The following is a 26,106-nucleotide window of genomic DNA, read 5'->3' on the forward strand; positions in this document are numbered from 1 at the left end:
ACTCGCCCAGGGTGGACTTAGTTCTGAGGTGGCCTCTTGCTCCCTCTAGTGGTTTAGAAATCACTGCAGGCGGGTTAAAGACGGGTCTGGTTTTTCTCCGAGGAGGAATCCGCATTAACCATTTAGACATCTACTGCGCAGTGAAGTCAATTCATGACTACGTTTTTGAGCAATCCAATAATTAACCAAATGCACACACAATAAGGACTTTGGACCGTCTTGTGGATCCTTGGAGGACCTTGGGTTCATTTTACAATGCAAACCTAACAGGCTGTAAGTACCCAAGGGATAATTGAAAATATGCTTTAATCAAAGGCAATCACCCTGTCATTGTCAGCCTGTGAAACATTAGCTCGTGGAGCGGGATGAGAGCACGCAGTTCTCTTATCGCTCCAAGATAACTCCACCAGGATGACAGAAAAGCATCAGATTTGGAGATGTCACCAGTCTGGAGTCTCAGTTACATTCAAATTTCATGATAGCCTATCCTTGGGGAACTGAATTGTCTCTTTTGAACAAAGACAATTTCTTAGTTGAGTGAGTTCAGTCATTTTTTGATTCAATATCAGATCATTACAGTTCCTTTGGGACATAAAAACTATCGTTTCCAGAGGCAGAGGAGTGTACTTTGCTATGTTTGTACCTGCCCTACACACAAACTTCTTATGCAACATACATTTTCTGAATGACTTAAAAATAATAGCTGAATATGGCATCTTTCTTCAGAATTGCACGAAGCTTTAAATATCACCTACTGTGGGGTGCAGCGGCGCATGCCTGTAATCCCAGCACTGGTAAGGCTGTAATGGGAGAATTAGGCTTTGATTTTCGGAGTTTGAAACCAGCCTGGGCAACATAGGGAGACACTGTTTCAATTATAAATAAATAAATATCACCTCCTCAGAGAAGATTTCCTGAGGCAGCAGACCAGCTTGGGCTTCCCACAGTGACGATGGCCTCCCACAGCACTGGGTGACCACAGAGCACTAGTCACGCCTGCCATTTAATGAGGGCCTGGTTTGTTTTCCGTCTGTCTCCTCTGTCCAAAGCTGAGCTCCGTGGTTGGTTGTTTGTCCATGACAGCATGCCAGAGTCTAGCGCAGTGCCTGGTATAAGAGGTGCTGAATAAATATTTGTCAACTGATACAATCTAGGGGGGTAAATGCTGAGGAGACAGACAGCAGAGGAGAGCTGGTGCTGTTTTTTTTTTTTTTTTTTTTGAGACAGGGTCTCACTCTGTCACCCAGGCTGAAGTGCAGTGGTGCCATCTCGGCTCATTGCAACCTCCACTTCCCAGGCTCAAGCGATTCTCCTGCCTCAGGCTCCCAAACAGCTGGGATTGCAGGAGGTCACCACCACACCTGGCTAATTTTTGTATTTTTAGTAGAGACGGAGTTTCACCATGTTGGTCAGGCTGGTCTCGAACTCCTGACCTCAGGTAATCCACCCGCCTCAGCCTCCCAAAGTGCTAGGATTACAGGCGTGAGCTACCGTGCCTGGCCTGATTCTTATCTTAGGGCTGTGAGGGAACCCTTCATTCAGATTATAAGCAGAAAAAAATACCTGATTAAAGACTCAGGAATAGTGAGGTGAAGGGCTGAGATTAGCACCCAGGTGGCCAGTGCACATCTGTAACCACAGTGCAGCGAAGAGGAGAGAAGCCCAGAATTCCCCCACTCAGATCCCAAGTCAAGCAGGAATCACCATCTCCTGGCTCGTGGAGCTACATTTCTTTGTCAACGGCCTGATGGAAACTGGCCTAAGCTCTGGGGGATGGTTTACCAGCAGGACTGTCCTATTATCTTAATATGTGTGGGATGTTTACCTTAACAAAGGCATTTTTTTTTTAAACAGGCTGGAGTGCAGTGACATGATCTCAGCTCACTGCAACCTCAGCCTCCCAGACTCAAGAGATCCTCCTGCCTCAGCTTCCCGAGTAGCAGAGATGGCAGGTACATGCCACCACACCTAGCTAATTTCTCTACTTGTAGGTGAAATGGGGTTTCACCATGTTGGCCAGGGTGGTCTTGAACTCCTGACCTCAAGTGATCCACCCTCCTTGGCCTCCTAAAGTACTGGGATTACAGGTGTGAGCCACCATGCTTGGCCTCTAAAGGCATATTTTTAAAGCACTGAAAATTAAACAATAACAAAATACCTGGAAGCTCTGGAGGCAACAAAGACAGAAGGCCAAAAGTGTGCAGACTGTAAGAATAGAATACAGAGTAAGGGTAAGACTATAAAGAGGAATGAAAATATGAGGCCAGGAGAAAAGATACGGAAAAGAGAACGAATGTGTTCCTTCTTGTGTGTCCTTCAGCTTTCCTTCTGTATCACTGACTATCCAAAGAAAAATTTAGTTAAACAGGCAGCAAGTATGAATTGAATGCTGGGAAAGACACACATACATTTAAAATCCCACAGGAAAGTTATAAATGTGAGTAGGTCAGCAGAGAGGCACCCAGCCTTGGTAGGCCTCCTGGGATGTTATGTAGCTGGGTGTGTGTTTTCAGCCCTGCTATACCCCAGATTTCATTTTTGAGTGAGGGTGATTGCATTTGGAGTTAGAATGAGTAAACCATTTTTGACTTTATTAGTTAGGATTGTTAAGGTTGGCTGTAAGTAATAGAAAAAAAAAATCAAAATAAGTGGCTTAACAAGAGAGAGAGAAGGTAGAATTTTAGGCCAGGCACTGGCCTAAATTTGTGGCTCGCACCTGTAATCCAAGCACTTTGGGAGGCCAATGCAGGAGCCCAGGAGGTTGAGGCTGCAGTGAACCATGATTTCACCAAGGCACTCCAGCCTGGACAACAGAGTGAAACCCGGTCTCAAAAAAAAAAAAAAAAAAGAGGCCAGGTGCAGTGGCTCACGCCTGTAATCCCAGCACTTTGGAAGGCCGAGGCGGGTGGATCACCTGAGGTTGGGTGTTCGAGACCAGCCTGACCAACGTGGAGAAATCCCGTCTCTACTAAAAATACAAAAAAATTAGCTGGGCGTGGTGGTGCATGCCTGTAATCCCAGCTACTCGGGAGGCTGAGGCAGGAGAATTGCTTGAACCTGGGAGGCGGAGGTTGCAGCGAGCCGAGATTGCGCCATTGCACTCCAGCTTGGGTGACAAGAGCGAAACTCCATCTCAAAAAAAAAAAAGAGAGACAATTTTCTCTCTGCTGGCATGGCCGACTCATGAGGGCATCTCAGAAAGACAAGAAGCCCAAGAGGTCAACCTGGAAGTTTAATTTGGACCTTACTCATCCAGCAGAAGATGGAATTTTTGATTCTGGAAATTTTGAACAATTTCTACGGGAGAAGGCTGGATATCTCGGGAATGTTGTTCACATTGAACGCTTCAAGAATAAAATCACAGTTCTTTCTGAGAAACAGTTCTCTAAAAGGTATTTGAAATACCTTACCAAGAAATACCTTAAGAAGAGCAGTCTTCATGATTGGCTTCGAGTGGTTGCATCTGACAGGAGACTTACAAACTTTGTTACTTCCAGATTAGTCAAGAAGATGAAGCAGAGTCGGAGGACTAGGCAAAGGCTTCCCTTATAGGGCTTTGCTGATTAATAAAATAAATGAAGTATATGTGAGAAATACCAAGAAATTGGCTTTTAGTTTATCAGTGAATTTTAAAAAATGCACCCTTAAAAAAAAGAGAGACAATTTTATTTCTGTTACATTTTCAAGAAGGCAGGAGGTAGCTTATCAAGGTTTGTTTGGGGCTTAAGGGTGAGGGATCTTCTACTTGGTAGTACCACAGTGCTCAGTTTCCCTTTTCAAGGTGGCCTCATAGTCTAAATTGGCTGCTGAGGCCCCACTCACACACCTGCTTTCTACTCAGCAAGAAGACCAGACTGAGAAGGATGCATCCTTTTTTTAAAGACGCTTTTTAGCAGTTGCACCCACAACTCGTGCTTACATCTTGTTGGCCAGAACTTTTCTTCATGACACATCGACCTGCAAAAAAGTTGGTGAAAGGAAGACTTCTGTTCCGGGGGGAAAAAAAACAAACTAAAATTAAAAATCAAGGACTCTATTACTGAGAAGGAAAGGAGAATGATTACTGGAGGCCAATATGCAATATGCAATCTACTTCACTGGAATTGAACATATATTTTTTTGTTCCTGAAAATGAGTCCTGCCTCAGTCTCTCCAGGGCATGGTGAGGGGTGGGAGTGGTAGCTGGTAGAAAGCTAGTGTCCTTAAGACAAGGATTGGCTTTAATCCTGCTTTGGGTCTTTGGGTGATTTGAAATCCAAATGTGGATACAAATGTCTACTTTTTTTGTTTGTTTGATTTTGAGACAGGGTCTCACTCTGTCACCCAGGCTGGAGTGCAGTGGCATGATCTCGGCTTACTGCAGCCTTGACCTCCTGGGCTTGGGTGATTCTTCCACCTCAGCCTCCCCGAGTAGTTGAGACTACAGGTGCCTGCCACCACGCCCAGCTAATGTTTTGTATTTTTAGTAGAGATGGGGTTCCACTATGTCACCCAGGCTGGTCTTGAACACCTGAACTCAAGGAATCCACCCGCCTCAGCCTCCCAGAGTGCTGGGATTACTGGCATGAGACACTGCACCTGGCCACAAAAGTCTATTTAAGAGTACAAATGAGGGAAAAATAATCTAGTTTTGCCAATTATATTATCACTAAAGCTCTTATGTTGTTGTAAAAAGTCACCAGACATATTGTATAATGTCACATCCGTCTTTCTTTCTTTCTCTCTCTCCTTCCTTCTTTTTTTTTTTTTTTCTTTCTTTCCTCCCTCCCTCCTTCCCTGCTTCCTTCCTTCCTTCCTTCTCTCTCTCTCTCTCTCTCTCTCTTTCTCTTTAGAGACAGGGTCTTACTCTGTCACCCAGGCTGGAGTGCAGTGGTGTGATCATAGCTCACTAAAGCCTTGAACTCCTGGGCTTAAGCCTCCTCCCACTTCAGCTTCCCAAATAATGTTGAATTTAGATGATAAGTTTACACAGGTCTTTAAATTCAACCAACTCTCATCCTATGGATTCAGAGACAACAGCTGACTATCCAGGAGATAAAGATTCCTGGCTGTTCCTTCTCACAATCTTCTTTGCTTATTGGAAAATGCTGGAGTTACCCCAAATTCTGTCCTGTTTCTTTTTCTTTCTCTCATTTTAATCCTTCTTGAGCTTTTTCAAATGTGTCATGTTTAAAAGTGGACTCATCCTTTCTTTTCTTTTTTTTTTGTTCTTCTTTCTTTTTTTTTGAGATGAAGTTTCGCTCTTGTTGCCCAGGCTGGAGTGCAATGGCGCGATCTTGGCTCACCACAACCTCCCTGTCCTGGGTTCAAGATATTCTCCTGCCTCAGCCTCCCAAGTAGCTGGGATTACAGGCTACCAGCTAATTTTGTATTTTTAGTAGAGATGGGGTTTCTCCATGTTGGTCAGGCTGGTCTCCAACTCCTGACCTCAAGTGATCCGCCTGCCTCAGCCTCCCAAAGCGCTGGGATTACAGGCATGAGCCACCATGCCCGGCCCATCCTTTCCTTTCTAACCCAGTTCCTGGTTGTCCCCCTGCTGAGTAGACAGCACCAGCCATGGCCTCAGCCAGGCACCCCACTCTCCCTCACAGTTCACATTTTCAGTGAGTGCTAGGCTTTCTACTTCCTTCTCTCTAATTCACTCTTCATTTTCTCCAAACTCCTGCTATCCCCCAGGAACAGGGAAGCATCCTCTCTTGCTAGATTATAGCAGGAGCCTCCCTATCTCCTGAGATCATCCAGGCTGATCTTGCTAAATGTTCAACTCTGTTCCTGTCTTGCCCCTCTTTAAACCATATACTTCCATAGAATTAAGCCCAGGTTCTTTTGTCAATTGTTTTCCTTTTTATTAATTAATTAATTTTTTTTTTGAGATTGAATCTTGCTCTGTTGCGCAGGCTGGAGTGCAATGGCGTGATCTCGGCTATCCACAACCTCTGCCTCCTGGGTTCAAGTGATTCTCCTGCCTCAGCCTCCTGAGTAGCTGGGACCATGGGCACACACCACCATGCCTGGCTAATTTTTGTATTTTTAGTAAAGACGGGGTTTCAGTGTTGGCCAGGCTGGTCTTGAACTCCTGACCTCGTGATCTCCCCACCTCAGCCTCCCAAAGTGCTGGGATTACAGGTGTGAGCCACTGCACCCAGCCTTATTATTTTTTAGAGATGGTGTCTTGCTGTGTCTCCCAGGCTGGAGCGCAGTGGTGCGATCATAGCTTACCTCAGCCTCGAACTCTTGGGCTCATGCATTCCTCCTGCTTCAGCCTCCTGAGTAGCTGGGAATACAGGTGTGCACCACCACATCTGGTCAATTTTTAAATTTTTTGTAGAGATGGAGTCTCACTATGTTGTCCATTCTGGTTTTGAACTTCTGGCCTGGAACCTTCCATCGATCCTCCCATCTCTGCAAGCCTAGACATTTAACATGGTCTAGAAGGCCTCCATGAGCTCCATCTCACCTCTTTTTTGCTCCTTCCGCTCCGGACCTTTACAAGTTGTGGCCATTCCAAACTCCTTTCACTTCTGATTATCTCATGTTCTCTCTCACCTCCCCGCCCATGCAATGAGGTTCCTCCCCAACTAGATTCTTATTCCTCTTAGATTCTCAGAGAAGCCTTCCCTGAAAGAAGCCGTCTCCCATCTCCCAGATTGGGTTAGGCTCCTCCTGTGTGCTGACTTCATTGTCTCTCTCCAACATTGCTTAGAACGCTAAGTTGCAACTTTATGTCTAATTGATTGCTCCACTAGTCCATAAAATCTAGGAGGAAAGGGCTGTATCCTTAGCCCTTGACACATGGCCTTGTACATCTTAAGTTTGCATATGAACCGCTTTATTTACCTGGGATATTATCTTACTTAATCCCCAAGACAACCCTATACGTTGTGCATGATTATTCCAATGGTCATTACTGTTATTTTAAATAGAGATGGGGGCTCACTATGTTGCCCAGGCTGGTCTTAAACTCCTGGGCTCAGGTGTTCCTCCCACCTTGGCCTCCTAAAGTGTTAGGATTACAGGCATCAGCCACCATGCCTAGTCGATTATGCCCCTTTTAATGGATGAGCAAAGAGTCGAGGTTCCACTGGTTTTCCACTGCAGTGTCTCTGCTGAAGGATTAAAAAAAAAAAAATCACAGGGCTGTGCTGGACTCCTGGGACTTCCAGAGGACAAGTCCCTCTCTTCAGTGAGGCTGACCTACACAGAGCCAGCCCTCCTTCCCCTCCCAGCCACAGCTGTGTGTTGGAAAGCTAGAGGCCTGGGCCCCTAATAAAGAGCAGACCTCCCAATCTCCTCGTTCCTTCCCCCTCCCCTCATATGGTTTTTCAAATTAAAAGCAACTAAAACCAAAGACCTAAGGAGCAGGAGAGGGCAGAGGCACAACAACATCCCTAAACTGAGGAAGGGGGCTCTCTAGCGAGGGAGGGGGTATCCAAAAGCCAGATCCAGAGGGTTCCAGTCCTACCAGTCTGTCCCAGGCTCTAAGGAGTGTATGGCCCACCGGGCTGGGCTGGACCAGGAAACAAGCTCTTGTCCTCAGGTCTGTAAACAGGCTGCGTTGTTAGGAACCCTCTGCTTCTACTTCCTGAAGAGCAAGCCCCCCAAACCCAGAAGAGAGGCTGCACCTTGAGATCCAGCCAGCAAGGTGGGTGCGGAGTCCTGGGGAGGGAACTTTCACCTCAAGCTGCACAGACCCATCTCGATCTTTTTAGAGAATTCCTCCTTTTCCAGGACTAGTGCCGTTCTGAATTCTGAGCGTGCAAAGAGACTCCTTAGAGCTAGCTTCCGAGCCTCAGCTGGGGCAGACCAGAGGCCAGGGCGTCTCTCTGTCTGCGGGGACCCCCCACATCTGTGCGTCACCTCCACCACCTCCGGGCAAAGGACCCTTCCTCGCTGGACCCAGGGAGGCGGCTATTCCAGATGCAGCCAAGGGTTAAAGGGGGTGGGAGAAGGAGCAGTTAGCACCGTTTTCTTTTGCAAACCACCAAACGGGCCCTTCATTTTCAAATTGTGAAGCCAGAAACATCCCCCGTTCCCTTGCCCCGCCCATCACCATTTGAAAAAAAGAATTCACAAGTTTAAACGTGATTTTCACAACTAACGGCTTTGATAACTGTTAAATTCGTACGGCTTCTAGGGCAAACGGACCTGAATTCTTCAAGGAAAGTAGAATTGGCGGTGGAGCTGGGGGGCAGAGGAGGAGAAGACACAAAAAGCCAACTCAGTGGGAAGCGCCCTCAAAGCCAAAGGTGTGGCGCTCGGAGCTGTGGCCGCCCTCGCCCGGGAGTCGGGGCCAGGAGAACGGGCCCTGGAGGCAGGGCAGGGCACGGCGAGATTTTGCTTTTGTTTTTAGTGACCATTTTGATCTGGTTGTAAAAAGTTTACGAGGCCTTCTTTTTGAAAGTCAGCTAATCGACTGCACCTTTTTATACCCTTGCCCTCAATTTCATGTCGCCTGCTGGCCTAGACGCGCAAGGCGGAGGACAGAACTGTCACAGTCCCTACCCTTTTCTCCCAACTTCTCGGCCCGGCTCAATTCGGGAGTTGGGCCTCCTTCCTCTCGGCTCGCAGCCTCCCCGACTCCCACTTTGGGGAGAAAACCCACATTCTTAACCCCTTGATAATCCCTCAAGGAAAAAACAAAACAAAAAACCCCAAGAGGTTGAAAATTAGAATCCGGGCGCGGGTTGAGATCTGCGCAGAGCTGCCCAGGCCAGTGCATGTCGCTCCTCTCCTCCGGGTACATATGGTGGCCTGGTCCCCTCCCCCCACCCCCCACACGGTGCCCAGTGAGAAGCACAAGAAGGGGAGAAAAGACCCGCAGCCCGCCTCAGGAGGGCAAGGTTTCTAGCCCCCTGCGGCTCCGGGACCACCCAGGACCCGGGGCGTCGTGGGACCGATCTCGAAGGATCTTAGAACGACACTGGGAGAGCGCGGCAAGAACTAGCCCCACCTTCCCCCGACGCCCCGGACTGACTGCCGGGCGCAGACCCGACTTCTCCCGAACCAGCCTCGGACCAGCCTTAGAAGGCGGAAAACAGGATTCAAACCCGCCTATGAGCAGTGGTAGGGGCGGGGGCTGTGGGGGCAGGACTCGGTTTAAGGAACCAACCGCCTCGGTTCGAGGGCCTCCTGTCCGGAGGTTGCTCCTGACCACTGGGTTTATTTTGCTTTTGCAGAGGAGGCAGATGTTGACCTCTCTTCTTTGCACAGTCTCTCCGCAAAATTTTCCCCCAACCATTTGCTTTCTTGCGCCACCCCCCACCGGGGCACTATCCCTGGAGTCAGCTCCTCAGGCCTTTAAACCTTCCAGAATGTCACACATGGAAACCTTTAGCAAATGTTTGTTAATGATCATAACAAAGGCATCATTCAAATTAGGCAGGTAATTACTACCAGAAGGACAACTGGGTGCTCGCTTGCTCATCCATTGCTTTCTGCTTTAAACTCCCGAGGAGTCGCTGCCTGGAGACACTCCCGCCCGGACTGCTTCTCGGGCCCCATTAAACGGCTCTGAAATGAACTGTGAAGTTACCATTTGTGGGCGGAGAGCGCTGGGGCCCTGCGGACGGAAGACCCTGGCTTGACCGGACTAACAGTGTCGCCGAAGCAAAGCAGCCCCTCTGGGTAGGCTGTCTGTCTCGCCTCCTACCCTCTGGGGCAACTAGCCTAAAAACCCGGTTCTCAACTTAACAGCATGTGGCCCAGCACCCGCTTTTGCCTTTTATTCCGCACTCTGATTTTTGGGGGGATCGTTTGTTCCCGCTCATTTTCTACAAACATTACGGTATCCTGTTAGCATTCCGAACAAGGGGCTGTTCATATATTTGCCTTCAATGATTTCCTGAAGGGACATGTGGAAGTAATAGCGAGCGGTGCAGTCACCCAAGCTGAAGATGCACGAGAGCGGGTCGCGTAGAAGAACTGCGGCAATGGGACCCCCAGCGCAGCCCCAGGCGCCCTGTTTTCGAGGCTGACATCCCAAGATCCTGTCCTGGTTAGGCACAGCACCGCGCCCGTTGGAGTACTTCTCTGTGACTCTCCCCTGTCCACTGCACTGTGTCCACCCTCCTGGTGAAGGAGGAGACGGCTGTTGGACATGCCAGTCCCAACCTGGCCACTTTGGCCATTTTCAGAGTGCGTGTGTTGGGGTGGGGTTGAGGGAGAAGGATGAAGGATGACCCCCAACCCCAACAGGAGAATTCAAAAATCAGAGAGCGATGAAGGTGAACGCGCTCCCCTCCCCCGCTGTCGCTGGGAAGCCCCACTCTGCCCAGGTCTGGTTCCTGGAGCATCAGCGCCCCCTTTCCCTCGCCGGCAGGATCGTTTCCTCCCGACACTGGCCTCTCGCCTTGGGCGCAGGGTTTGGGGCTCAGCTGTCAATTCCAAGGAATTCGTAGGGTTCGACCCACGCGGCGGGAGGGAACGGAGGGAGAATCAAAAGGCATCCTCCCCCACGACGCGGAGGCGGTGGTACGATTCCTCAAACGCCCAAGCTTGAGCTTTTTTTGTATGCGAGATAGAAGCCAGGGCAACCTCGCCCAGATAACCCCGAAAACAAAGGCACGACCAGATAAGTGACTTCAAGGGAGTAAAGGTCGTTCTATCGGAGAACGTTCCAAACCTACACAGACCCTCTTTTCTTTGTACCGTATTTCAGACCACCCAGTCTTGTACACACACACACACCACACAAAACAAAAACCCATCATTGTCATATTGGACTCAACAGTTTGCCCAATCCTATTAAATAACTAGCAACTATATAGCCCTTCCCCTAAAAGACCCCTAGTTCAAAACGGCGCAACCGCTTGGAGATTTCTCCCGAGGGCCCTATTTCTCGTTGGGCCGAGTTTGTAGAAGGGACATTTCTTGATTCTAGATTTATATTCTCTCTGGGTATTAAATGCAATTTTGTATGTTCCTTTTCTTCTTTTCAAAGAGAATACAAAACTATAGCAGTCTAAGAAAATAACCCCAAAATGGGGAGGCAAACTCATTCTGGAAATGATGGGCTGTTTGTAGTTTCACAAAACCTCTTTCCCGGCAGAGCACCAACACCTCCCCCTTCCACCACCCCCCATCCCATCTGGTCTGCTTCTCCCCGCCCCCCAGTTGTTGTCGAAGTCTGGGGGTTGGGACTGGACCCCCTGATTGCGTAAGAGCAAAAAGCGAAGGCGCAATCTGGACACTGGGAGATTCGGAGCGCAGGGAGTTTGAGAGAAACTTTTATTTTGAAGAGACCAAGGTTGAGGGGGGGCTTATTTCCTGACAGCTATTTACTTAGAGCAAATGATTAGTTTTAGAAGGATGGACTATAACATTGAATCAATTACAAAACGCGGTTTTTGAGCCCATTACTGTTGGAGCTACAGGGAGAGAAACAGAGGAGGAGACTGCAAGAGATCATTGGAGGCCGTGGGCACGCTCTTTACTCCATGTGTGGGACATTCATTGCGGAATAACATCGGAGGAGAAGGTAAGGGAAAAGAAAAAATGATTTTTTGTTTATAAGGGAAGTCCCTGATCAGACTCTGGGACTGGAGAAAGCGAAGTAACTTCAAACTTTGGGCGACAAGAAAAAAAAAAAGGAGCTGGATTCCAGTTGTGTGTCCAGAGAGTAATTTTTTTTTTTCGGAATAAACTTCACTTGGGGACGGGTGGGAGATAACCATAGAGTTAGAAAGTCTAGGTATTTTTTTTAAACACACATTTTCCAGACCTATTTTTAAAAACAATGTTTTTCTAACAACCCTATGGCCTCCCAAAGAAATTGTTTAGGCTTACATTTTTGAGGTTTCTTTTGGGAGTGGGGGTGGTGTTCGTGAATACTGGGCCGAACACCAAGGAACTGGGGGTGGAGGCAGAGGTGTTTGCCCTCTTCTTGGCAGTGGGTCCTGGAAGGCGACAGGTTTTAAATGAGTGTTTTCATTCCTCGCCTGCGGTTTGGCGGGACAGCGCTGCAGCCCATGGTGTGGAGCGCGGCTGGGGGACCAGGGGGAGGTGGGGAGAGGGGAGCGTGGAGGGGAGCGTGGAGGGGGGCGCGCGAAGGGGTTGCGGGGCGCAGGAGGCGGGCTGGGCTCGGCTGGAGACCGGACCTCGGTGTTGGCCTACAGCACAGGGAGCCGGCCGAATGCGCGTGATTACTGGACGGCGCTGCTCTGGGAGAGAGTCGGGGCCAGATTTGGCGCGGCGGTGAGGCGGCTGCGGGACAAGCAGAGGCGCGCGGGCGTGGGCAAGGGTTTGGGGCGCTCTGGAGCGGTTTGTTGGGTCAGTGAGGTGCCAGGGAGAGCGGGTGCCTGCCGGGCAGTGTGCTCGGGTTGCACGCCCTAGCGCGGGGGCGACAGCGGCGGCGCGGGCGGGCGGTCTGGAATAATGACAAACACATTTGGCCCTGAGTGAAGAAGTCGTCGTCGCCTCGCATTCCAGCAACTGGGATTTGAGGAATTTCGAACCGCACACCAAGGGGCCCTCATTGTGCTCCGTGGCCCCCGCCCCCGCCTGTCTTCCCGCGCCCCCTCCTCGGTGGAATCATTTCTGCATTGCCCGGGGGCTCTGCTTTCGCTCAGTTCTGGCCGCAGGCAGGAAGAGAGGAAAGGTCTCCAGGAAGGTGCCGAACTTCTTGTGAGGAAGTTAGGGACGACTTGGAACTGGGGAAACTTGTTTGCAGGTAAGACAGAAAGGTGGGAGGTAAACCATATTCTCCCTCCGGGCACCCGAGCCCTGGACACCCCCTACCCGGCACCCTTCTCCGCGCGGGGGTGCGTGGCACTTGCCGTCTGAGCTCGCCCAGCGCTGCTCGGTCCTCTCTAGTTGGCCTTTTTTCCATTCCTCTCCCTGCCGGCTTCAGAGCCGTCTGTGCGTACTTCTCCTTCCTCTGCTGTCTACCCCCATGGAAACCAGATTTACACACGAAATTAACTCCGCCCGGCTGCGCCCAGGGAGCGGGCGGCGTCCATTTGGCATTGAATATGTGGGATCAGCTGTTCTATTCCGGGAGGGTGTCGGCCAGGTCGGAGCGACGAGTGTGGCCCAACCCGAGTACGTTGCCAGAGGGAGCCAGGAGCCTGGGCCGGGCCAGGTGTGCGAGAGCTGCCGATGGCCTGGCCTCGCGTCTTGGTCGGGAAGGACTTGCTGGCCTGGCAGGCTGTGCGTTGTGCATCCCTCCCGCAGCCAGAGCGCCGGTCCCGCACTTCGCTCCCCGAATTGTGCTAAGACCTCAGGATGTGCGCAAGGAGTGCCTGGAAGAACTTGCCACTCACTCCATCTTCCTGGGTGGGAGGCAAGCATGGATGGGGCCCATATCAGGTCCCTACCGCCCCGCGTCCGAAAAGCCGCGGGCTGGGCGGTGTGGGAAATGGCTTTTTGGCTCCGAGGCCAAATTGCTCAATGTTTTGGACCGACTCGCCTCGCCGCGGTCGCTCCTGACAAGAACTAGACAGATTTTTGGAGCAGGGAGCATCCAGGGCAAACGCACGACAGTCCTCCGCAGTGCATCTCACCGGACAAACATCCCCGGAGCCACAGGAGGGGAGGAAGGGGCTCTCCGGGCGTGCGCACCTCCCCAGCCGCCGCGCTGTCCCATCCCCGACCCCTAATCTGGTCAACCTGGACCCCGGCACTGCTGAATTGCATCCCCTCTTCTCCCTTTCTCCTCGGCCTCCTCCTTTCCACAACCCTCAAGATGAGGAGGCCCTGCCTCGACTCCCCGACAGGCGCAAGGCCGACCAGGCTCGCTTTGACGCCCTGGTCAGGCCCTGCTTCGGAGCTTGCAGTTTTGGGTTGACCCAAGTGCAGCTGGACCTCGTTCACAAGAGTGAGGGGAAGCCAAGAATGAACCCGTCGTTAGCCCCCGGTGCCCTGGCTCTTGTTTAAATCCTTAGATCGAGAAGGACTTGAAGGAGATCCCAGGCTCCCAGCTCTGCGCCCCTGGGCCAGTTTCCTCTCGGGACGCGGACTGAGGAGGGATGCAGGGGGAGGGGCATTGGGCCGGGCTTTCCAGCTGCAAACACGTCTGGCGCCGAGGCGGGCCCATTTTGTGCCTCCTGGGGACGGACCGTGGGCGGCGCGCAGCGGCGGGACGCGTTTTGGGGACGTGGTGGCCAGCGCCTTCCTGCAGACCCCACAGGGAAGTACTCCCTTTGACCTCCGGGGAGCTGCGACCAGGTTATACGTTGCTGGTGGAAAAGTGACAATTCTAGGAAAAGAGCTAAAAGCCGGATCGGTGACCGAAAGGTGTGGGTCTCAGGGTTCCCCGGGTCTAACTCGCCGGGTCCAACCGCAGCATCAGCCTTGGGGCGGCAGATAATCTTTCGGTCTCGCCTGGGGCGCAAGATGCAGGATCGGGGGCAAATGGCTTCTCCCAACTTCCCCCTAATTCGGGTTCTGCCAGATGGTTGTCGTTTGCTGAAGTGGCTCGGCGGCATTTCCTTTTGTTTTAAACTGATCAATGAGCGAACCTGGGATGGGCTGAAAAAGTAGATTGTAGGAGGGAATAATGGGAAACCCGACTTGGGGCGCCTCCTTCCCTGCCTCCTACTGCAGTTTCTCGGCCCCCGCGAAAGGGGAGCGACAAGCGCGGGTGGGCGCGGACTCTTGAGGGGGCAGAGGCGGCTATGGCGCGTGTCGGGCAAGGTGGCACCAGAAGGCACTTTTGTGTGTGTGTGTGACAAGAGTCTCGCTCTGTCGCCCAGGCTGAAGTGCAGTGGTGCGATCTCGGCTCACTGCAACCTCTGCCTCCCAGGTTCAAGCGATTCTCCTGCCTCAGCCTCCCGAGTAACTGGGATTACAGGTGCCCGCCACCACGCCAGGCTAATTTTTGTATTTTTAGTAGAGACGGGGTTTCACCATATTGGCCATGCTGGTCTCGAACTCCTGACCTCAGGTGATCCGCCCACCTCGGCCTCCCAAAGTGCTGGGATTTACAGGCGTAAGCCACCGCGCCCGGCCAGGAACGGTTCTTAAATGCCGAGAGGGCGCATGCTAGCTCTCCTCAGCATTCCCGGTGAGCCGCTACCCACGGCCGTGCGGCTCTCGTGCCCATAGGAGGCGCTGGCGAGCTCCTGTAACCCTAAACCCCTCGGCCCCTTTCCCCCCACCCGCCCGGATTCTCTTCCCGCTCTCCCCCCTCTCTCCACACCCGCCCGGCCCCCTCTCGGGTCTCAGTTGAAAACAATGCAAACGCAGAGCGTCGTGCCTGGGGCGCAGCGGCCTCTGCAGCTCTGAGGTTCAGAGCGCGGCGCGCAGGGGCGCAGGGGCGCAGGTCCCCGGAGCGGCTGGGCATCGCCGCCAACCCCGGGACAACCAAGCCGCCGAGGACTTGGTGGAGGTGGGAGGGAGAGCGGACCGCGCAGTGTTCCTCTGGGTCCCGGGGTCAGAAGCCGGACAGTGGCGGGGGCTGGACAGTCCGAGCGCAGAGCCTCCCGGGCGAAGTCTGCGCGCAGCACTCCCGGCTGCGCTGTCGGGGACCAGGAGCCTGGGCTGCGGGCGAGCTAGCTGGCGAGCCGGGTAAGATTCGCGGGGCTGTCGCGCCCTCTAGTGGGCTCCGGGGACGCATCCCGCTTTCCCCAGCCCCGGGCGGTCGGCGCCGCTATCTCAGTGGAGCGCAGCGCTGGAACCCCGGGGGCCCGGAGCGGAGGCTAATCTGGGTCACCTTTCCCCTCCTCCGGGCAGCCAGTGGACTCCTCGCAGGCTCTGTGTGGGCCCGGGAGGCGCCGGGTGGACGAGAGGGGGCCGAGGTCTCTGGGTTTGGATTGAGAATGGGACGTCCTTGTAATTCAATGTGGGAGAAGCAGGGGAGTGTGGAGGAGGACGGGTCCCGTGCGTTCTTGGGGGGCAGGCGCCGTCTTCTGCGTTCCAGCCCCTCGCCAGCTCCCTTGCCCCGCGGGCGGCCTGTTGCTGTTTGTTTGTTTTACGACCCTGCGTTATTGTGCAACGGTAACAGTCGTTTCCAATCAGCTGCGCGGCCGTCGCGGCCCTCGCCAGGCTGGTTTATGGGGGCGGCGGTGGCGCGCGGACAGATAGGACAGCGCGGCCCGGGAACGGCGTCGAGGTCCAGGCGGTCCCCCTGCCCCGAGGGGGCGGAAATGCTGAGGTGGCGAGAGCGTGGGTTGCACAGAACCCTAGTAGCGAGTCCGGCTGAGCCTCTGCGGCCTAGCCCAGCAGCGTCGTCTTCCCGGCTCCGAAGACGTCTTCCCGAAGCCCCGCTGCCCCGGCGCACCAGCTCCCGGTGATGGGGATGATGATGGGGATGATGGGGAGATGTCCCCGAATTCTCCTGGGGTCCCGAGGAGATTTAGCCATTTTCAACAGCAGTTTTCCTATTTCTGCTTAAACCCCGCGGGCTTTCAACTGAGGTCACCACGAAAGCTAAAAGTACAACCTAAGGAAGGAAGAGACTGGAAATTAACATTTGGGGTAGTGGAGCTCAGAATTCCTCGCAGCGGCGTCTGTGTCGCAACCCGTGGACGCACGTCCTTGGACCAACACTGCCATCTGCTGGCCACTCGTAAGAACTACTGCGACCCGCTGTGAGAATGGGCTTCGCGGAGACCATTAGGAAGGTGCTTTATTTTTTATTTTTTATTTATTTTTTGCTCAGTAGGACCGTAATAGGTGACTGATTTTCTTTTGCTGTGAGGCTACAAGAATTGCTGGAAGACAACATTTTTATTTCGTGGAAATTTGTGTTGTGTTTCTCCTTGGTTGTTAATGCTTTGCATTTACATAGTGAACATCTTATTATCAGAGCTGGCCTGTGAGGAGGGTAGTGGGGGGGCATTGATGTTCCCGTTTCTGAGTGAGGAGACCTATGTCGGGGCCTTGGTGACCTCAAGCCGAATGCTCAAACTGCTACTGCTACTCCTAAGGTTGTGCCATTAGGAGTCACACCCGTTTGGTGATATTCAAAAGGATATGTCATTTTATTCTCCCGTGGTTAAATATATGGTGAGAGGAGAGCAGGCATGTTTATGAGCCCAGATTGTCCCATAAAAGGCTCCTGTTTAAAAACACTCCAGCCCCCTCCCATTACTGGAATGTCTGATGGAGCTCCGGGAGATCAAAACAACAAAACAGGCTCTGGTAGGGTGCAGAGGTCCTGGTAAACACACCCTCTGCTGGAAAACAGGGAGAAGTTTCCACCAGTGTAGACCTGCACTTGGTTTGCCTGGGCTGAAGTTAGGAGACTGCGTAGAAAAAGGAAAATGTGTAATTTTCACAGTTAGAATTAACTTAGGAGAGCTGAAATTAACTGAGCCTCGGAAATCTGAATCTTGAAGTCACCAGTGGCTTTTGGGGCTGTGAGAGAGTCTCCTGTGGTCTTTAATCATGTGAGGGTGGGGTGAAATTCAATATTCAGTGGTTCTGCAATGGGATGCACTGTGCAATTGGTGATTGAGAAGCCAACTCTCTGGCTTTAGGAGAAGAATGTCTTGCTGTTAGTCCTTCTGGAAATAGAGCCTTGCATTGCCTACTGTCTGTTTACACTACCTTTGCACATTGCCTTTGGTTATAGAGTCATGTCCAATGGCTCTTTACTTCTGTTTGCAGGGCAGGAGATGGCACCCTGTTAAAGAGAAAGGATAGTAGCTGCAAAGTCATTTGTTTCTCTGTTTCTGTGACTGTATATATTGGCTCATCTTTGAATGGTCTTTATAGCCACACCAGGCTGGAGGTAACAGGGTCATGGGAGTGGACTGCTGGTGTGGGCTGAATCAGAGTTCAGATCCATGTCTCCAGGAGGTAGGAGGTGCAGGGCAAGTCATGTGGCTTCTGGGGCATCCCTCACTTTCTTAGTTAAGGAGAAGTTGAAGGAGCCGATCTAAAATATCTTGGGAGTCTGCAGAAAAAGTCGTGAAAATCAAAGCACTTTCAATTAAACTATATAATTTAGTCCTTACAAGAATGCCACAGGGCAAGCAACCAGTCAGGCCTTGGTAGTCGTGCTTCCTAGAAGAAAAGACTGAGGTTCAGAGAGTTGGATAGAGTATCAGATTTGGGATCAGTGGCTAGTCCAATGTGATTTCCATCCTTTCTTCTGAGAGAAAGCATAAGAAGGCCAAGAGGATGGTGGAAAAGCACAAGTCACCTGCCTGAGAGTCAACAGGGCGGGGGGTCTCTTTCTCAGTTTGTTCCTCTAAGTTATGGCAAATGTTTTTTGAGCTGTGATTATTGAGAATGGGGGCTGAAGTTCAACATGTAGTTGGCATGAGGGAAGTAATTATGATTGAAGAAAAGATTTGGGTGAAATCTAGTGTTCTTCCCTGCAAAGGGGGTTGTTCTCACGGATTCTTATGGTGCCATGTTTCTCAGAATTTGTAGTTTCAGTTACTTATATTTGCACACCTGACTTTAGATGAGCTCCAGAATAGCAGTTACTAATTAAGGATGAGCATTTAGAGTAGATAAAAGTGGCAGGAACAGCAAGACTCACTCCCAGAGAGCCTCACTACAGGTCTAATAGGTGAGGAAATTCCCCATGTTTCCCATTTTTCTTCATTACCTCCCTGTGGGGCAAGCACTGCCATTATTCATGAGTAAACTGTCTGAGTTATAGATAAGTAATGACATGAAACTTCACAAACACGCTGAGCACAGTGGCTCACGCCTGTAATCCCAGCACTTTGGGAAGCCGACGTGGGTGAATCACGAGGTCAGGAGTTCGAGATCAGCCTGACCAACATGGTGAAACCCTGTCTGTACTAAAAATACAAGAAATTAGCTGGCCATGATGGTGGGCACCTGTAATACCAGCTACTCGGGAGGCTGAGACAGGAGAATCGCTTGAACTTGGGAGGCAGAGGTTGCAATGAGCTGAGATCATGCCACTGCACTCCAGCCCAGGCGGCAGTGCAAGACTCCATCTAAAAAAAGAAAAAGAAAGAAAGAAAAAAGAAAAAAAGAAAGTTCACAAACAGGCCTGATTTCTACCCAGGGAACCACTGTTATCAGAGATTGGGGTTTGGAATCTTAAGCAACAAACACATGTTTATTCTCTTCCTTCCTGATGGCTTGCTCAGAGGACCTGTTTCCATTGCCCACTTTTTTTTTGAGACAGAATCTTGCTCTGTCACCCAGGCTGGAGTGCAGTGGCGAGATCCTGGCTCACTGCAACCTCTGCCTACTGGGTTGAAGCCATTCTCCTGCCTCAGCCTCCCGAGTAGCTGGGATTATAGGTACCTGCCGCCATGCCTGGCTAATTTTTTGTATTTTTAGTAGAGATGGGGTTTCATCATGTCGGCCAGGATGGTCTTGAACTCCTGACCTCAAGTGATCTGCCCACCTCAGCCTTCCAAAGTGTTGGGATTACAGATGTGAGCCACCACGCCCGGCCTCATTGGCCACTTTATATGTCAGTAAATAATCTTTCCTGGCAGAGGGTCCACTGTATCTGGAGGCACTGAAGGAAATCTGGGAGTGTCTGGCCAGGGCAAAGCACTGCTTAGAGCTTGCACAGGAAAAGCAGTGAGCCCTTCTTTTAAGCTGGAGAAAGCTTTAAAGATGCATCTTTGGCAAGTCTTGCCAAAGAAATATGGGTTCTAAATGTGATAAAACCAAAGACATCAAGCTGGCTCTGGAGGCCTTGTTTGAAGTTTGCTGAGTGGATTGTCAGTGGGAGGCTGATATTTATATGTACAAACACACAAGCATTACTGCTAATTGTGGTAAATCAGGCTGGCCAGCCTGGCTCTGGGGCCCACTGTGCCTGCCACCGCAGCAGTGTGGAAGCCTTGCATCCCAGGCACATGTCAGGATCCTCGGAGGCCATCAGCCAGCCAGCATTGTGTGAATTGCATTTGGGTTCACAGCACTGTAATTGTGTTTCTCCTGCTGTGGTGAGCAAAGGAGGAAAATGGAAGGAGGAGGTATAATTTGCCCTAGGAAATAGTCAGGCAAGTAGGTGGCACACAGGGGTGGGATATGGCTAAAACACTGACCTTCCCTTGAGAGAGACCATATGGTGAAGTGGAGAGGGCATGGCGTTTGTATCACACGACCTTGTGTTCAAATCCTGGCTCTGTCACTGGCTGTGTGACTTTGGGTCATTTGCAAAACCTCTCTGAGCCTCAACTGCCACTTCTTAAAATCAGCTCTAAGTAATCACAGGGTTATTCTTCACAAACACAGCATGCACATGCAAACTTTGGCTTAGTAAATAATGGTTTCTCCTTCTCTTACTTTGTTTTCTACATACCCCACTCCCCTTCCTGTGAGGAGCCTTCCACCTTTTTCTCTGTGTTCTCTTCCTCTCCCATTTTCCTGGTAGCATTCAATAAAACAGAAATCTGATTTCTGCAAAGTAGGCCACCTTACGGTAGAAATACATGATTAGGCCCCACCAAAAACTTTGATTAGGCTATTATCTTCTGGATCCTGGATCCCCTCCAACCAAACCAAACCCAACTAGGGCTAAACACAGCAATATATGAATACATTGAATTTCTCTCTCACTCTTTCTTTTTTTTAAACCAGTTTACTCAGGAATCACATGCACACATATTTTAGCTTCCAAAGCCAATGATGGAACAAATTGTGTCCCATTAGGCTCACTCCATTGTATGAGTTAGCATCAGAGGAGTTCATACCAGAGTGACTTCATCTTGAATAGGGCCTAGGTAAGAAGAGGATGAGACCTGCTGGGCTGCATTCCCAGGAGGTTACACATTTGTAGTCACAGGAGAGAAAGGAGTTGGTATAGGAGTTGATAGATACAGGTCATAAAGACCCCAGTGATAAAACAGGTTGCAGGCCAGGTTTGGTGGCTCATTCCTGTAATCATAGTACTTTGGGAGGCCAAGGCAGGAAGATTGCTTGAGCCCAGGATTTCAAGATGAGCCTGGACAACATAGTGAGACCTTGTCTCTACAAACAATAATTTTAAAAACATGAGCTGGGCATGATGGTGCAGGCCTATAGTCCCAGCTACTGGTCTGAGGGGCAGTTGGGTGGCAGGCTGAGATGGGAGGATGGAGGCTGCGGTGAGCTGAGATCAGGCCACTGCACTCCAGCCTGGGTGATGGAATAAGACCCTGTCTCAAAAATAGATAAATAAATAAATAAATAAGCCAGCAAAACCAGAATGCAGTGAAGAAGCTGGCCAAAACCCACCAAAACGAAGATGGTGATGAAAGTGACCTCTGGTCATCCCTACTGCTTATTACACACTAATTATAATGCATTAGCATGTTAAAAGACACTCCCACCAGTGCCATGGCAGTTTACAAATGCCATAGCAATGACCAGAGATACTCTATATGGTCTAAAAAGGGGAGGAACCCTCAGTCCTGGGAATTACCTGTCCCTTTCAGGGAAAACTCATGAATCTTCTACCGCTTGTTGAGCGTATAATCAAGAAATAACTATAGGTATACTCACTCAAGCAGCCATGCAGTTGCTGTGCCCATGGAGTAGCCACTCTTTTATTCTTTTACTTTCTTAATATATTTGCTGTCATTTTACTCTTTTGGCTTGCTCTTGAATTCCTTCCTGCATGAAGCCAAGAACCTTTGTGACCTCCCAGGCTGAACCCCAATTTTGAGTTCCACCCTATGACATCTTTTCTGGTGACCAATGAAGGGACAATGGTAACCTCCCGTTGACTTTAAATTAAAACTGATTGGCACTGTTTGGGCTTCACCGGTGGGTGAGTCTCTCCTTGCCCAGATTCAACTTGCTAACATTTTTTTCTCTTCAATTTTGGCTCCTTTGTCCTTCCTAATGTTCTTCATTTTGGACAGATGGGAAAGTGGCTGTGAGGCCTCTGGCTTAGCAGCCTGATAGCAGCCTCCTGTTGTCTGGGTGCCCCAGATGGGAGCACGCCTGGCTGGCCACATCTTTTGCAACCCACCTTGTCATCCCTTCTCTGGGACCTTTTCTCTTTAGTTTCTTTTTTAAAAAAAATTTTAAATTATTTATTTATTTATTTATTTTTAGAGATAGCATCTCGCTGTGTTGCCCAGGCTGGAGTGCAGTGGCATAATCATGGCTCACTGAAGCCTGGACCTCACTGGCTCAAGTGATCCTTCCACCTCAGCCTCCTGAGTAGCTGGGACTATAGGCATGCACCACCACGCCTGGCTAAATTTTGTATTTTTTTTGTAGAGACGGGGTTTTGCCATGCTGCCTAGACTGGTCTTGAACTCCTGGGCTCAAATGATCTGCCTGCCTCAGCTTCCCAAGGTACTGGGATTATAGGTGTGAGCCACTGCACCTGGCCTCTCTTTAGTTTTTAATGACTGGCTGTTTGACTTCTCTGCTCTTCAGGCTGAAATTCTTATTTCATGTTTGTAGTCTTTGCCTTGGCTATTTGGCAACTGTTTAAGGCAAGACACTTGGTTTTGAGAGTTCTCCCGTTGTGTTGACCCTGGGACACCAGGGTCATTGTTCTGTAGCTCCAATTATGTTAGGTCTCATGCTTTTGGGTTTCACTATTGGCCACCCCCCAGATGCTCTGGGGTTTTTGGCATTTGGTGTGGGGACCCTTGTTAGCTGATACTCTGGGCTTTTCGGCATTTGGATGCTCCAGGGTGTTTGGCACTGACATTCCCCTCTAGCATTGTGGGTTAGAGTCCCACCCAGGGGAAATCTTGGTTTTGCCTTTTCTTGTTTTCTACTCTAAAGTTATCATTTTCTATAAAAACATTTTCTTTTCTTATTGTCACTTTGTTTAATGCTTTGCTCCAGGAGGTGGGAATTTGCAGGGGAAAATAATTGGGCTCTCCCTATACTTAGAAAAACTTCTGTGTCTAGTAGAGATCCTTGTTAGACAAAGGGACAGTGGTGAGTCCCAGAGAACTCGTCACTAGGGTGCCTTTTAGGCAATTGGAGCAAATTCAAATTAGCAAACTAAGTTTGGCCATTTGGATAAGTCCCAGTTTTGTCAGGGAAATAATTTGGGTCCAGCTATCTTTTATAAAATAGTGCGTTTGCGTTCCTACATTATGGCTAGAGCTCAAAGATAAAAGCTATTGGATCTTTGTTTATGTGTGTGTATAAATGTCTAGATGTGTTTATGTGTATGTACATTTATTATGTTATATATTGTATCTACAGGGTACCAAATTGGCTTATAAATAAAAGAGTGCTCATAAAAAGAGTAAATAAGTCCAAGCATTTCTCAAGCTCATGTAACTTAAGTTTACTAAAATTTAGAGTTACTAAAAATTCATATATAACTCTGTATAAATGTGCCAAAGAAGATATGCTCTTAGTGAAAATAAATTCTTTTTGGCCAATTCAGATGTCATTTATATGTGGGGTTTAAAATATGAATTTCGAAAGAAAATAAAAACAAGTAGAAAGAAATAAAAAACAATAAGCAGTGGAGAGAGATGTGAGGAAAGTTATGAATATGAAGACGTATTTTTGGTAAGGAATGTTATAAAGAAATTTTATGAGAAAGGATCTTATATGATAAATTCTTGTCCTAAGGTAGAATGACTGATTGTTTAGAAAAGAAGGAAATATAGGACAAGTCAGAAAGTCCAAGCATGTTGTAGATGACCTATGTAAGTCACGATAAAGTTTATACAAGAGAATTTATTAAAATTTAGATGTAATTAGCCATAACTGAAAGGAAATTTATTTATTTATTTATTTATTTATTTATTTATTTATTTATGATTTATTTTGAGAAGGAGTTTTGCTCTTGTTGCCCAGGCTGGAGTGCAATGTCATGATCTTGGTTCACTGCAGCCTCCGCATCCTGGGTTCAGGCATTTCTCCTGTCTCAGCCTCCTGAGTAGCTAGGATTACAGGCATGCACCACCACACCTGGCTAATTTTGTATTTTTAGTAGAGATGGGGTTTCATCATGTTTGTCAGGCTGGTCTCAAACTCCTGACCTCAGTTGATCCACCCACCTTGGCCTCCCAAGGTGCTGGGATTACAGGCATGAGCCACCTCATGCACCCAGCCAGGAAATTTATATATAATACTCTATCTAAATTTTGGTGCCCTATGTTAAAACAAGTTTTTCTTCAAGTATTGGTTTGCTTTCAGTAAGATTGCAAGAAATATTGACTTTTAATTCTAGAATCTGTTTCCTTTGAAGGCCTCTCAGATTTATATCTTTTCCTTTTCCCTTGAAAAGGTATAGCCTTTGCAAGTTCAAAACTGACTTCCCTAGACTCCTTTTAGGAAAAGCAATACAGTGGTTGTTTCAGGCTGTGGCTCAATAGCTAAGCCTTTGTTCTTTCATGGTGGTGGCCTGGGTTCAGTTCCTGGCTTAGAGAATGAGAGGTTTCCAGTTTGCTACTTCTGGGACTTTTGTCATTTATTTATTCTTTTTGTCTCCATCGACAGCTTCTGATTTTCTCACTTGAATTTTTTTTTCTGTGAGCTACCTTAAGGGTAATGTTGGATCTTGTAAAAATTGCTTGCCATCTCTTTGGAGATACCTCTTGTGTCCATGGTTAAGTTATAACCTTGGTTAAGGCCTGTTGGTTTCACTAGGGAAAATACCTTTAAAAAAAGGCTTAAAAGCCAGAGATGTTGGCTATTTGTCCTGGCTAGAGTCTGGTATTAAGGGATTTAAAAGGATTTTTTAAAGGACCTCTATAGTTATAAGTCAGCTTAATTAAAAATGGATATTCCATAGTCATATTTATATATATATACACACACATATATATGTATGTATGTGTGTATATATATATATTTAAAAGACCTGTATGATTTTTTTCTTCTTGGAACTTATTTTTTTGAGAGAAAGTGTTTTGTGTGTTTGTTGTTTGTTTTTCTTCTCAGTGGACTGAATTATTTCTCCATTCTGTCTTTTTACCCCCTTTAATGACCATATTAGAGGACCTAAGATAATTTCTGACAGCCTGGGACTCCTTGGGAGGAAACAGAAGGTGCCACAGACCTCGTTTTGGGAGAAACCTCTGTTTTCCTCATGGAACCCCAAGAGCTGTAAGCAGAGAGTTCTCCCTCAGAATCCAAGGCTCTGCTCTGTTTACGTCACATTACCTGACCTTTGTGACTTTTGGGGGCATCAGAAATTACTTTGCATTATGAGGGAACCTTTAGCATTGGTGTGTATTACCTAGGTAGGATGTGTACTTTTAGGGATTGCAGTTGCTTACATGAGTGGTTATTACTACAGACCAATACTTCTTTCTTCTCACATTTAAATGAAAAAAAAGCATGCTCTTGGGCATCCACCTATGAATGGAGGATGGGCTGATTTGCTTTAGGTTGGCCACCAGCCTTTGGGGAACATCGTTGCAGTGAAATGCTTGGTGAAAGCATTGCACTGTCTGATCGCATAGTGCACTTCTATGCACTTCTGCCTGATGTCCTAGGCTCAACACCTGCTACATAATTAAGATCACTTACTTATCAGGTTTTTAATCAAAATGAAATGTTGCTAAGAGTTAACATTATAGCATATGTAATTGAGATTACTGGAGAAAGTTTTACCTACAAGATATGTAAGGAAAGCAAAATGTGTTTTTGGTAAAAGATTATAGGAAGGTGTGCCAGTATAGTTTTTTATTTTGCTTACTTTAATGGGTTAAAGGATTGTTTTAAGTTTGATAGGAGAAAGCTGAAGCATGAGCAAGTTGTGGAAGGTATATGAAAGATTAACATTTTAAAAGAAATTCTGTGTGTAAACATTGGCTAAAGTTAAAGGAGGAGGTTGGAGCCAAGATGGCTGAATAGGAACAGCTCCGGTCTACAGCTCCCAGCATCAGCGATGCAGAAGATGGGTGATTTCTGCATTTCCATCTGAGGTATCAGGTTCCTATCACTAGGGAGTGCCAGACAGTGGGCGCAGGACAGTGGGTGCAGCGCACCGTGCGCGAACCGAAGCAGGGCAAGCCATTGCCTCACTCGGAAAGTGCAAGGAGTCAGGGAGTTCCCTTTCCTAGTCAAAGAAAGGGGTGACAGACGGCACCTGGAAAATCGGGTCACTCCCACCCCAATACTGCGCTTTTCCGACGGGCTTAAAAAAAGGCACACCAGGAGATTATATCCCGCACATGGCTCAGAGGGTCCTACGCCCACAGAGTCTCGCTGATTGCTAGCACAGCAGCCTGAGATCAAACTGCAAGGCAGCAGCGAGGCTGGGGGAGGGGTGCCCACCATTGCCCAGGCTTGCTTAGG

General features: G+C 49.0%; 1 protein-coding gene and 1 pseudogene across 10 annotated transcripts in view, besides 9 other annotated features; both read left to right on the forward strand.

Moving 5' to 3' along the window:
• Positions 3,184 to 3,533, forward strand: RPL22P13 (ribosomal protein L22 pseudogene 13; annotated as a pseudogene).
• Positions 7,345 to 8,172: an enhancer, noted in NCBI's record as "H3K4me1 hESC enhancer chr4:55091451-55092278 (GRCh37/hg19 assembly coordinates)". NCBI's record gives its function as "activates a minimal SCP1, AML or CMV promoter by ChIP-STARR-seq in naive H9 embryonic stem cells {active_cell/tissue: H9 hESC(naive)}" and the evidence as "EXISTENCE:reporter gene assay evidence [ECO:0000049][PMID:30033119]".
• Positions 8,173 to 8,998: an enhancer, noted in NCBI's record as "H3K4me1 hESC enhancer chr4:55092279-55093104 (GRCh37/hg19 assembly coordinates)". NCBI's record gives its function as "activates a minimal SCP1, AML or CMV promoter by ChIP-STARR-seq in naive H9 embryonic stem cells {active_cell/tissue: H9 hESC(naive)}" and the evidence as "EXISTENCE:reporter gene assay evidence [ECO:0000049][PMID:30033119]".
• Positions 8,517 to 8,704: a silencer, noted in NCBI's record as "fragment chr4:55092623-55092810 (GRCh37/hg19 assembly coordinates)". NCBI's record gives its function as "represses an EF-1alpha promoter that drives an FKBP-Casp9 reporter gene in an ReSE screen in K562 erythroleukemia cells {active_cell/tissue: K562}" and the evidence as "EXISTENCE:reporter gene assay evidence [ECO:0000049][PMID:32094911]".
• Positions 9,827 to 10,652: an enhancer, noted in NCBI's record as "H3K4me1 hESC enhancer chr4:55093933-55094758 (GRCh37/hg19 assembly coordinates)". NCBI's record gives its function as "activates a minimal SCP1, AML or CMV promoter by ChIP-STARR-seq in naive H9 embryonic stem cells {active_cell/tissue: H9 hESC(naive)}" and the evidence as "EXISTENCE:reporter gene assay evidence [ECO:0000049][PMID:30033119]".
• Positions 11,354 to 26,106, forward strand: part of PDGFRA (platelet derived growth factor receptor alpha) — a 68,953-nt gene continuing 54,200 nt past the window's right edge. For 2 of the 10 annotated variants that reach the window (NM_001347828.2, XM_006714041.4), the window contains exons 1-2: positions 11,354 to 11,476; positions 22,099 to 22,176. In NM_001347828.2, the coding sequence (NP_001334757.1) occupies positions 22,114 to 22,176 (63 nt within the window). In that variant the 5' untranslated portion in view covers positions 11,354 to 11,476; positions 22,099 to 22,113. Of the gene's footprint in view, positions 11,477 to 11,927; positions 12,668 to 14,029; positions 14,233 to 15,160; positions 15,505 to 16,020; positions 16,560 to 22,098; positions 22,177 to 26,106 lie in introns of those variants that run through there. The other 8 variants (NM_006206.6, NM_001347827.2, NM_001347830.2 and 5 more) reach the window with 6 other exon arrangements.
• Positions 15,384 to 15,934: an enhancer, noted in NCBI's record as "H3K27ac-H3K4me1 hESC enhancer chr4:55099490-55100040 (GRCh37/hg19 assembly coordinates)". NCBI's record gives its function as "activates a minimal SCP1, AML or CMV promoter by ChIP-STARR-seq in primed H9 embryonic stem cells {active_cell/tissue: H9 hESC(primed)}" and the evidence as "EXISTENCE:reporter gene assay evidence [ECO:0000049][PMID:30033119]".
• Positions 15,415 to 15,524: a silencer, noted in NCBI's record as "silent region_15435". NCBI's record gives its function as "represses an Ori minimal core promoter by ATAC-STARR-seq in GM12878 lymphoblastoid cells {active_cell/tissue: GM12878}" and the evidence as "EXISTENCE:reporter gene assay evidence [ECO:0000049][PMID:35858748]".
• Positions 15,745 to 15,864: an enhancer, noted in NCBI's record as "active region_21571". NCBI's record gives its function as "activates an Ori minimal core promoter by ATAC-STARR-seq in GM12878 lymphoblastoid cells {active_cell/tissue: GM12878}" and the evidence as "EXISTENCE:reporter gene assay evidence [ECO:0000049][PMID:35858748]".
• Positions 16,372 to 16,421: an enhancer, noted in NCBI's record as "active region_21572". NCBI's record gives its function as "activates an Ori minimal core promoter by ATAC-STARR-seq in GM12878 lymphoblastoid cells {active_cell/tissue: GM12878}" and the evidence as "EXISTENCE:reporter gene assay evidence [ECO:0000049][PMID:35858748]".
• Positions 16,486 to 16,593: a silencer, noted in NCBI's record as "fragment chr4:55100592-55100699 (GRCh37/hg19 assembly coordinates)". NCBI's record gives its function as "represses an EF-1alpha promoter that drives an FKBP-Casp9 reporter gene in an ReSE screen in K562 erythroleukemia cells {active_cell/tissue: K562}" and the evidence as "EXISTENCE:reporter gene assay evidence [ECO:0000049][PMID:32094911]".

Source organism: Homo sapiens, chromosome 4 (assembly GCF_000001405.40).
Source record: "Homo sapiens chromosome 4, GRCh38.p14 Primary Assembly".
Classification (NCBI taxonomy): Eukaryota; Metazoa; Chordata; class Mammalia; order Primates; family Hominidae; genus Homo; species Homo sapiens.